This window comes from Homo sapiens, chromosome 12 (assembly GCF_000001405.40).
Source record: "Homo sapiens chromosome 12, GRCh38.p14 Primary Assembly".
In the NCBI taxonomy this organism is placed as follows: Eukaryota; Metazoa; Chordata; class Mammalia; order Primates; family Hominidae; genus Homo; species Homo sapiens.
This window is the reverse complement of record NC_000012.12, coordinates 59,356,746-59,369,495: the sequence shown is the minus strand read 5'-3', so window position 1 is coordinate 59,369,495 and position 12,750 is coordinate 59,356,746. Positions and strand designations below refer to the sequence as shown.

Genomic DNA, 12,750 nt, shown 5'->3' with positions numbered 1-12,750 from the left:
GAAACCTGAACAAAGTCGAGACATTTTGGGAAGAGGTCAGGTGGTGGAGAGCAGCGCGGTAGAGACTGGATTTTCATAGGCCGCTTCAAGTGTAAAATATGATACAACCTGCTGTTTTTAAACAATATAAATAATTTTCTTAGAATATTTGCATTATAACTACAAACATAATTATCTAGATGAAATAAATATGGTGATTGTTAACTGCTTTTATTATTTTATTAGGAAAGCACTTAATGGTTTCCTACTAGTTGACAGAGACCCTGCTAGAAATAAGGAATAAAATGTTATTTTTATTCTGAGTAGTGTAGATGTTAAAGCTATCATTAAAAAATGACTTTGCATGCTTGCTTCAGCAGTAATATACTAAAATTGTAATGATACAGAGACAATTAGCATGGCCCCTGTGCAAGGATGACACGAAAAAGAAAACAAAAATACTTTGCTATGTAGACTCTAAATTATTTGCTTATAGTTAGTAGTCTATTAAAAATTAATTTTAAAAAGTTACATCATAAAGAGACTATTGCTTTTCATTGATCTGATATAGAGGAACAATTAATGCAGAGGATTCCTATAAGGAGGATACAATGTATAATGTAGGGAGCAATGTCACCAAATTGAACTCTTCAATATCTAAAACAGGAAGTATCATAGTTATGTTTTTATAAAATATGTTTCAACTTGGCCAGTGGCATAATGGCAAATGACAATTCTATCTTTCTCTCTCTCTCTCTCTCACACACACACACACACACACACACACACACACACACACCCCTACCTCAAAAGGGCAAAACAACGTGGCCAGGCAGGCAGCATACCTGTCAAATAGCCTGTTTCCAAAGTCAATAGTGGGTTGTAAATAGGCTCTAATAAGATAAGGAAATGTTGAGATAAAGTTAAGCAAAGTAAATGTCTTCACTAAAGGACTTCTTAGAGCTTTTACTATGTTAATATGCAGTTATCTAAACAGCTAATATTTATTGAGAATTTACTGAATGCTACATACTGTCTGGCACACAGCGCTTTAAATATTTTATCTAATCAACATGATAATTCTATGAGGTAAGCACTAGTTGTATTTTTACTTTAAGATAAGAAACTGGAACCCAGCTAGAAGCTGAGCTGGGAGAAAGGGCAGCAGGAGGAAGGTGGCTATCTTCTGTAGTTCATTCAAGAGCCTACTTAGACTTCAAAATTATTTCCATAGCTGAGTGGAGGGCTGTCTAGGAATAAGATTATGATTTCTCTCATAAAGTAATTCTGGATCTGTTCTTCCATATACAACATGAACACAGTAATTGTAACCCAGAACACTGTTAAGCAAAGGAGTCCATTACAAGAAAAATGAAAAATCTCAGTAAAGTATCTATACAATATCTATGTGACATGAGTCTCTATTGAATCAAACTATATAATCCTAACTTATTAAATACTTGATGTCTTACATTGGATGTTTGGATATAAGCCCATTAATTGATAGGTTTCTGTAAAAGTGATTTTTGGGTTTTGGTGTAGTGGATGTATTTTTAAGGGTTGAGCTTCTTATTTTTAGCATAAACATATACTACACATGTCAATATTAGCCCAGACAGGCCAAGCAAAAATAATTTGTACATAAAAATAATGTATTGCAAGATTATTAAAATAAGCATAAACAAACCAGAATACAGTTTGGGCTATTTGTAGTTTGTAGTACCAATGCATGTATTATAATTTTACAGTGTAATTACCTTAAGGAAATTGTATAGACATACCACTTAAGATATTATACCCTGAATTTCAAATGTAGTATTATTACTATTAAGATGCAGAAGAAAAGATTAAAGTTAAACACAGAGGACCCTATATATTTTAAAATTATTGCTTGCTTTTATAAGGAATAGTGGGAAAAAAGCAAAAAGTGATAAAAACATAAACACATAATTGTACATAGAAGAGGAAAAGTGAGGTAAAAAGAATACTCAAGACTCTAATATCTCTACCAACTTTGTAAAAGTATCTAGTACAGAATTAAAGGGATATATAATTGAATTAGATGTTTTGCAATTGATCGTATTAATATTCACTACACTAACATTTGTAGTATTGAAGTATAGAAAAATAAAATTGACTGTCTTTATATGATTTAGACCCACTAAAGTGTCAAATAATAAGAATGTATTTAAAACAGATTTTTTAATTAGTTTTAATCTTGAAAGTAGCTATGAACTGTGCCTTGGAGTATTTAACAATATTTAATCTGTGAAAACATGGCAAATGGTAAATCCCTGCGTAGCTTGGAAGGAAACATATGCTCTACAAGAGATAAGTGTAAATATGTATATTCTGAGCAGTTTTTCATTTTTAATCTGAAGTTCTTTGGGGTGAATTGTATTTTTGAATTTTAAGCATTTTGTTCAGCTTATTGCAGTAAATTCTCATGCTTCCACAATTATTACTTCTTATAAGCATTTTTGCGATGAAAAGAATGCCAATTCTTATCACGTTAAATTGCCTTATGAAGAATTATCAACTTTTGTTGCTTCACTGCTTCCTTTCACATCAGCTTTTTTTTAAGAGAACTATTTGCTCCATATCAGCCTGGTTTATACTAAGCTATTATACATTAATATTTGCTACATACATTGAAATATGGTATCTTCTTCAATGCTCAAAATACTCTATCTTGCATGCTTTGATAATGTCACAATATGAGTACACTACTGGTGATTCAATTTGTATTAAGAGATTGCTGTCTCTCTGAGTATTTTCTAACAGGGATCTTTCAGACATATTTAAAAATGATGATAATTTACATGGTTCTGTCCATAAACATTTTTGCTATACAGTACTGAGAAATTCTGTATTTTTAAATATGAAGTTTTTGTTCTCTCTTGAGAAATTTGAGTGGCAGCTATTCACTGCTGAAACTAGGTCATCAGTACCAGCCTACAATTTGTCAGAAAATATGTTTAAAAGTTAATCTAGGAGTGTGGTGTGAATCTATTAATAGTAAATGACACTATTGACAATTTCAAATTTAGGACTTTTCCCCCACGAGTGTAAAATAGTAAATAAATAAACATTTTGTAGGAAAAAGAACATTTCTGTGGCCATTCTTTCGTGCATATATATTAAGTTTACCACACTGAATCACAATTCTGTTGACCTTTTTCAACTTCACCTAAACATAACCTTTCTTATCAATTCTTTTAAACATTGTACATATAATTTTTTTCAGATTGTATTGTATTCAAGCATCTAATCTGGAGATTAAAATATAATAACCTGCAGCACAAAGTCACCTTGAGCTTTGTATGGAAAAAAAATTCTATGATGTTTCTCCTCAGATAAGTGAGGCGATATAAAATAGAGACTAAGTTGGAATGATTACCTCACCCTCTACCTCCTGGCACCAACATTTTGGTAAACTTTATAAATTTTATCTAGTTTCCCTCACCTAAGTTTTGTGTGTACTTAGGCATAGAAGGTAAACTATACCACACACTCACTAGACTGATGGAAAAGAAGAATTTCCATGAGATGGGAAATTTCAAATACTCTTGGTCAAGAAATATATATAAACTTCTGTCACCTTCGTCACTTATTTGATGACCCATCATGGAATATTGGCTAGAGTAAATTATTGTGGTTTGTTTGGGATGTTCTAACAGACACAAAATTCACCTTGTGGGATCCTGGTGGGGGAACACCCTAAAGAAATAAACAGCAATTCTTGAGAGATTTCAAGAACTGAGTGAGGCTTGTGTAACTTGGATGGAAGAGGACGTGTTTTAAAACTCCACGGACAGGAAGAACAACACATTCCTAATCACAGATGCTGATTTTTAATTAAGTTGCTTCTTTCTCAGATATTCTAAGAGCTTAAAGAATACTGCATTAAAAAAATTAATATGTTTAATAATTCTCAAGGACACATTTAGACCAACTAACATAGAAGTAAAATCAACAACTATCTACTTAGTTACTAAAGGCCTGATCATTCAATCAAGACTATGATGGTTAATTTTTTTCGTGTGTGTCAACAGACTGGGATAAAGGATGCCCAGATAGCTGGTAAAATACAATTTCAGGGTGTGTCTGTGAGAAGGTGTTTCCAGGACAGATTAGTGTTTGAATTAGCAGACTGAGCAAACAAGATCCACCTTTATCAGCTGTGGGTGGGCACCATCCAATCATCCAATCTGTAGCAGGACCTGATCAGATAAGGCAGATGAAGTGCAAGCTCTTTCTTACTGAGCTGGTACTTACATTTTCTCCTGCCCTTGGGTATAAAAGCTCCTTGTTCTTGGGCCTTTGGACTTAAACTGAATTATGCCACTAGCTCTCCCGGATCTCCAACTTGCAGACAACATATCATGAGACATTTTATCCTCCATAGTCATGTGAGCCAATTCCCACCATAACCCTCTCTTAATATATCTAGATATTCCTATTGGTTCTGTTTCTCTGGACAATCCTGACTAATACCAGGGGACACAATTCCAGCATGAGGAAATTATACAGCTAGGTTTTGGAATCTTACCCCAAGACCATGATTCCCCCTTCATTCTCCCTAGAAGATGATTTGGCAAGTGCCTTCTGTCATTAGAGAACGTCTTCTGAAAGGAGGCTGAAATAACATCAACTTGTGAGATTCCACAAGTTGCTTCAGCCTAGAAAATCTACCTTGGTGCTGAGCACTGTCTCTCCCCACTCCAAGTAATGATAGGGTAACTTTGTTTTTGCCCTGAGAGTCAGCCATCCTGAGAAACTCCTCAGTCTAGGCAAACATATCTATTACTCTGGTCTGTATGCCAAGATCTAACCTAGCATTTCTTTTTTCTTTTCTTTTCTTTTTTTTTCTTCTTTTTTGAGAGAGAATTGGGACTACTGGTGCATGCTACCATGCCCGGCTAATTTTTGCGTTTTTTTTTTTGTTGTTGTTGTTGTTTGTTTGTTTGTTTTTTGTGGGGACAGGGTTTTGCTATGTTGCCCAGGCTGTTCTCAAACTGTTGGGCTCAAGTGATCCACCTGCCTTGGCCTCCCAAAGTGCTGAGATTGCAGGCATAAGCATCCAGCCTAGCCCAGCATTTCTGTCTTCTGTACCTCAGGACCTAAATGCTCAAGTAGTATTTCATACTCAGCACCCCATAATTTGTTTTAATATTAATAGCTAACAGATACTTAACATGTACTATAAGCAAGGCATTCTTCTTAGCACTTTTATAATATTAACTATTTTAATCCTTAGAGCTGTAAATCAAACAATTCTGTGAATACTTACCCTCTTTCAAAGATGAGAAAAAGAGGTACAGAGGAAAAAATAATAACCTGCGTAAGGTCGCACAGCCAGTAAGTAACAGCGTGAGAATCAAAGTCTGGCTTCGAAATACTCAGATTTTGCCAATACCTGGTACTCTTTTTGTATTACTTTAATAACAATAAACTTTTCTTTCAGGTTTTAATAATAATAATAATAATTATCCCAGTCACTAAGGCTGAAAAATTTCAGAATATTTTTTACTTCTTCCTTTACTTTGCTGATTCTGTTTTCAAAATGTCTCCCCTCTAGGTTCTCTTCCTTTGACTACAAATTATTCCAGATTCAACTTGGGTATTTGTTTCTACCTGCTGGGACAAATACAATATTCTGTGGATATTTTCATAGCAGCATATATAAATATGTTGCATTCTTGTAATGGCAGTAATCATGTAACATTATATGATTGTAGCACAATCTATTTGCAAGATGGTCATCCTTTGTTATATAATCTTTTAATCTTTGCCAATATGGCATTAGAAGATTTGTTTTTTTATGTGTTACAAATATGTTCCAGTTTCCACGTCTTTTGATTTTTTTTGGATACTTTTACTATTCAAGAGTTTTGACTTTCTAATTGGTCAAATAATTCAATTTTTTTTTTCTCAGCAGCTTCTCTGTTATAAAATGCATAAAAGAGTTATGACTTACAGAAAAAGAAGTCCATCTTTTTTTCCTGCTGCTTTTAGGTTGTTTGTTTACATGTGTGTATAAATATTTACTTGCTTTGGGGGTGTTCAGGTAGTTATTGTTTGCTTTTTGTTGTTAGTTTGTTTTACATTTGCACTTTTTCTCTATCTAGCATTTGTTCTTGCTCAAGGTAAAGTAAGGATTAGGCTCTGTAAGATATGCCTCTGCAAGTAATCCCAACACAAGTATTGAAATATTTCCTCCACTGATTTGAAATGCAAACTTTATCATAAACTAAAGGTCTAGTGATTTTCAATTAATTTTCTCAGGTTTTCCAGTTGTATTACATTTACATCAATTACAAATAATGGTACATTTTTCCTTCTCTTTTGAAAGTATCTGATACTGTTTTGCCTAATTTCACAGTCATCGAAACCCAATATACAATAAGTATGGTGATAGCAAAAATCCTTGTTTTGTTTCTAATTTTAATGAGACTTTTTAAATTTTATCATTCAGTTTTAATCTATAATTTTAATTTTACTTAGACTTTTAAAAATAAGTAACGTGTGGTGAATTTCATCAAATGTTTTTTCAGCATCTATGAAGATAATAAGTTTTTCTCATTTCACCTGGTAATATGGTAGATTTTATTAACGTCTTTGCTAACACCAAACCATGGGGACTTTAGTAGAACTGCACTATTTGATCATGTTGTGTGTTTCTTTTAATAACCAACTTGATTCTATCTGTAAATATTTTATTTTGCCTTAGTATTAATACCATCAATATTTATAACAGAAACTGTTTTGTAGTTGTCTTTTAGGGAATATATGTATAAGCTTTTAATATCAATTTTAGAGTACACTTTGTAAAACGTGCTTGGAAGCTTTCTTTCTCTAGGTAATGAAACAATGTAAACCTCTCCAATTCAACATGTGGCTTGTTAACTAACAGCATCAGCATCACCTGGGAGCTTGCTAGAATCATACATCCCACCCAAATCAATGGAATCAGAATCTGTATTTTAATAACATCTCCAAATGATTGGTAAGTTTGAGAACACTGGTATTAATAATATAAGAATTTTATGTTTTTGAAGGCTTAGTAGAATTCACCAGAGAAAAAATGCCCTAGTGCTCTGTATGTGTATATATTTGGAGAGGGCAAAGGACTGCTGTTTGACAACCTTTCTTATTCTCTAACCAAAAAGTTGGTCTGTTTATCTAACCTGAAGTCAATTTGCCTAATTTATATGTTCTGAGAAAAAGACAAACCAAGGATTGCATAAATTTAATCAAAGTGCTCTTTGTTTACTTATTTTTATGTCTTATAAATGTTTGATGTTTTTTCTCCCTTTTTTAGTATAAATTATCTGCATTTGGGCTTCACCCCTTTATTCTACATTATGTTACTTACTGCTCCACTTTTCTTTTGAAGGAAGCAAACTTGTATGTGTTGGTTATAGTTTGATGGTATTCTTGATCACCAGTTTCTGTGCAACTATTTATTTCTTCTTTTTATTTCCTTACCTTTCATGGATTTTTTTCTTGTTTAAGATACAACATGTAATTTATGAATTCCTACATTTCTTATCTGTTTGCATTTTCCTTTTTGCACAGACTCTACTACTAAAAGCTCTCAATAAAAATACAGTATTTTAATTTATAGGTAATGTTTGAAATTACCATTAATTCCCAGCAATCCTTTAATTTCTGCTTTCCCCCTTGATCTAATTTGTGAAATAAAAAATAAATTTCTTATTTTAGATTGATGTGGTTGGATTTTGAGTTTTTTCATCTTGGTTATTTATCCCTAGTTTTTTTGCATAGTTGTCACAGAATGCAGTCGTCCTTGCTATTTCAACAGTTGGAATTTAAGAAAGTGTCCTTTAGGAACTAATATTTGGTCAATGTTTCATGGGAACTTGATGTTTTATTTTAGGATGTAGTTTAATTTTTTTTAGTTTATTTTAATAATATTATTTATATTCTTAAATGTTTTTGTTTACTTCGTCTTGTATTGAAAGAAGTGAAAACATTTAAGGATACATATATCTTTTAGGACAGATTTTTCTATTTTTACTTTTGCTTCCTGCAGCATTCTTCTCTAGATTTTGATTCTATGTTATTTGGTATAGAAATATGCATGCTAAAGAGATCATTTGGAATTGCATTGTTTAATCTTTATAAAATTTTCCTTTGTATTGAAGTTTTTGCTGTAAATTCAACCTGTACATATACTCTTAGCTGAATCACTGCTTTCTTAATTATTAATTTTTGGCATTTGCTTCATCTGTTTATAGTTACAGTTTTACTTTTATTCAGAGATTTAAATATCAATTTGTTTTAGAATTATTTAAGTATAGTTTATGTATTCTATCAGATATATTTTCTGGTAATACTTTTTATTTGCTAAATTAATTTATAACGGGTACAATTAGTGATATAACAATTTTTCCTCAATTTATCATTTTAATTTATGTTAGATTTTGTGTTTTAAATATTTCCCATTTCTATCATTTACTATATTATCCATGTTTTTGCTTTAGCTTATATATATTTTGCTTCTCATCTTTCGATGGCTTATTTTAGTATTTTTATGTTCTTACGAAAAACTTCATATTTTAGTAATATATTTAAACTTCTATGATTCCTCTATTTAATACTTGTAATAAATAAAACAGTGGATATATTTTCTTCTACTTGCCTTTCTTTTATGCTTTCACCTCCTGCTTTTTTTATTTTAAAATTTTCATACATTTAAAGTTTATAACTTTTATATTATTTTCTGTTATCTTAACTATTGCTATTTTTTGGGCTACATTATGTATTTAAATGGCTTTAGAACTACTTCTTCACTTCTGAACTCTTTTTTGGATGTGTTTCTCATTTAGAATTTTATTATTCACTCAATTATGTAAAAGGAGTTTAGAGGTGCCATAGTGTTTTAATTTTCATGTGTTTGGGACTACTTTACTCTTACATTTTTACTTGAAGGATAATCTTAGGTTAGAGTTTAATATCTTGACATTTTTATGGGCTGTATATCACTGTCATTTTGGAGTAAAGAATTTTGGAGTAAAGAAGTCTGAGATTAGTTTGATTTTTGCCCCTTTCATATACAATTTGGTACTTTGCCAGAATGTCCTGAAGATTCTAATATTTGAAAGACTGGAGGCTTCAAGGATACATCTCAATACTGATTAATTTTGTGTCAACTCTTCCTAGGACACAAATTTAAAACATGCTTTTAAATTTGCTTATAATATTATATTTCAGAAAAATACTTTTCTTATAAGTTTGATTTTATTTCAATCTGTTTTATTCTTATAGAGACATGTTAGCCACACATTGTAGATATCTGTTTTCAGTTCATATCAATCATTTAACTCTGTGACCATTTTATCTTGTCATTGTCATTTCATTTTGATTTGTTTTATCAGGCCTGTGTTTCCTGACTCTTAGAGTTTCCTATTGTGTTTCTTCTAGTTTTATTGCCTTCCTTTCAGTAATCTTTTTTTCCCCTCAATTCCTGCATTAGGCCTTCTACATATACTTAGTACAAACTATATTGTATTTCACAGCTCTACTCTGGCTTTAATAACTGGTCTTCCCCCTTTTTATTGTTACTGTTATCATTAGGAATAAAAATTGAGAAGAAAAATATTTGTTCCATCAATCCTAAATATAGTGTACCTATTACTCAAATAAATTCCACATTTATCTTTTGTCAAAATACTGAAATTAAAAAGATTTTTAAAATCAAGAAGGGAATTCTGCTTTCACTGATGATAAAGTACTTTGTATTAGACTAACTCTCTTTTGTCAAAATACTGAAATTAAAAAGATTTTTAAAATCAAGAAGGGAATTCTGCTTTCACTGATGATAAAGTACTTTGTATTAGACTAACTCTCTCATCAAGAGCAATGGTGAAAGTGGACAAGAGAAGAGAAGATACTCAAAAGAGACCTCTTTAAAGATATCTGGTGAGCAAAGAGCCAAGAGTTAAGGAGCTGAGATTCCGGAGAAAAGAGAAATGCTTTGAGGAAAGACAGACTTCCACTACCACTATTTTCCTTTTGGGTATTTGCTAATCCCAGCAGAAGGCAAGAAGGTCAAATAGGAAGTGTAAAGTATAGAGCCTACAACTATGTCATGCTATGGAGAAACAAACAGTAGAGTTCAGGGCTGGCAAAGCAGTTGGGGATTTGAGGGGACAAGACGCCAGATAGCTTTTCTCTAGTTGAACAGACATCTCAAAAGTATGAAATTGGACCTGTTTTGTATCTTATTCAAAAACCTTACTTTCTTTTACATACTCTAGCTTCTCAAATACTTCTCAAATATTCTTTCAACTGGTCACAACATCTTTCTAGTTGCCTCATTAACTAATGAGCTGAACAAAACTGTTGATGCATATTCATCTTAGATTTTCATAATAGTAATTATATTATTGAAAATTATATTTTAATATATTTAATATATTTCAAATATATAAAAGAAAATGAAATTGACAATGATGTGCACATACCCAACAAGAGAAATAAAATATCACCAGTGTATTTTCAAATTCCTTGTGTTTTTTCCTTGATCCCTCATCACACTCTCCTCAGCTCCCTCCATGCCCTAATTAATAGATGAAGTTTGACATTGATGCTTTTCTTAAATTTCTTTAGTACATATTCCTATAAGATAATTACATTCATACAATGAGACATGTATAATAAATATATATTAATCTGTGTGTATTCCTTTATAACAGATTAATGTTTGCAAGCTTTTATAACTTACGTATTTGTATTTGTATAACTTACATGTTTGTATTCTTCTTCACCTCGCTTTTTTCTACTCAGTGTTATATTTGAGAGATGCATCCATATTGACAGATGTAGCTCCAGTTCACTCACTTTAACTGCTGTACAATAATTCATTGTATAAAATACTACTTTTAGATAAAAGCTTCTATAAATGTTTAGGTAGCTCAAATTTATTCTTATACATTTTCCCTTCCTGTGTGTGTAAGACACTCCCTGAAATATATTATAAGGAGTAAAATTTGGGTTCATAGGAACTTTACTAGATATTTCCACATTGATCTCCCAAGTGGTTTTACCACTTTACCCTTGCATACCAAAACTTGGTATTGCCATTTTTAAGACTGTTCCCTTTCAGAGGAATGGCAAATATATCTCATGGTTTTTTTTATTTTATTCTCTTCATTATAAGTGTCATTGACTATCTTCTATTAATTAAACAGGCTGGTTTCTTCTGTAAATTGCTATTGATGAAGGATTTTTGCTCCTTAGCTCAGCTAAATCCAGGTTCTTTTCTCACAACCAGGAATAGTTAGACACACATTCACACTGAGAGGTGAGGAGGGCAGAATTTATTAAGCAAAAAGGGAGCTCTCAGCAGAGAGAGGGGTCCTGCCAGCAGGCTCCCACCTCACAGATCAAATACCAGGCCACCACACACGAGATGAAGAGGGTATCCTCCCATGGATAAGGTGTAAATTCCTGCTGGCTCCACCCCACTCTACAGTGCATGTGGGCCTCCAGTCCACTGCAGGCATGCCCAGGCAAGACCCTGTGAGGGTTTTCTTAACTGCAAAAGCACATCTGATACAAACACTAGTGAGGTGGGTTGGAGATTCTCCAGGGACCCTTACTTATCTGCCTAGGCATTTGTCTGCCTCCTGCCTCTATCACTAGTATGTGAATGTTGCTCTTTTTTCCCCCTTATTATATGCCTACATAATATAGAAGTTTTTTCATATTCTACATCACTAATCATTTGTAAATTACAGGTGTTGCAAATAGTTTCTTGATCTGTCATTGATTTTTTTATGTTTTATGGTATTATTTTGGTGAAAGAAAGAAGTTTTGCATTATGATTCTAGGCAAATATGTCAATCTTTTCTCTTATGGTTTTTGCTCTTTGTGTCTTGTTAAGTAAATCCACTTCTACTCTCAGGTTATAATGATATATTTCTATAGTCCTATATATGTTTTTAAATATTATTGAACTTTGCATGAATTCTTTCATCAATTCACTTTTTTTATAGAATAGGAGCTAGAGACTCCATTTTAGATTTTTTCCTTTGGATAACCAATTGTCTTAATATATTTATTGAAGAGTATATCCTTTTTACAACAATCAATGGTGCCACCTCTGACATAATTCAAGCTGCCATATATGTTCAGTTCTGGTCCTGAACTCTCACTTGTGTTCTATTGATCTCATTATCCATCACTGCACTGAGATGAACTCAGTGCAGTGATGAATAATGGTTTAGAAATTGTCATCTAGCTTACTTTTGAGGAGTTCAAAATGATCATATTTTCTTCCCCTTTAAGAATTCATTTACCAAATAATAAGCACCTGCTATAGGCCTGGAAATATTCTTGATGCTAGGGAGAATTAAATAACTATGGTAAACTGGCCTTAGGAAGCTTACATTTTGTGGAACTATCAGATAATTAACAAATACGTGTATAATGCGATGTTAGTGATAGGCAATATATAGAAATATAAACTGAATGAGAAAATAAGACAACAAGAATGGGCTATCTTAAGTAAAGTCCACCACAAAAGGACTCTCTTTAGAGGGAACGTTTGACTTGAGAACAGTGAAAGGAAGAAATAAACCAAGTGATTACCTGTAGTAAGAATATTTGGGGCAAAAGAAAATAAGTGCAAAGGCCCTGAGGTGAAAATGCATGTCTTTGAGAAGCAGAAGAAAGTATGGTTTCACTAGAATGGAGTAAACAAGTGTGGGAGGGAGACAAAGAGGCCAGAATGAGCGACAG

The 12,750-nt window shown here is 32.4% G+C and overlaps 1 pseudogene, besides 1 other annotated feature; it reads left to right on the top strand.

The window, feature by feature from the left end:
• Positions 345–445, top strand: RNU6-279P (RNA, U6 small nuclear 279, pseudogene; annotated as a pseudogene).
• Positions 10,914–12,113: an enhancer, noted in NCBI's record as "MED14-independent group 3 enhancer chr12:59751164-59752363 (GRCh37/hg19 assembly coordinates)". NCBI's record gives its function as "activates an origin of replication core promoter dependent on BRD2, BRD4, P300/CBP and CDK7 cofactors, and independent of MED14, by STARR-seq in HCT116 cells {active_cell/tissue: HCT116}" and the evidence as "EXISTENCE:reporter gene assay evidence [ECO:0000049][PMID:35650434]".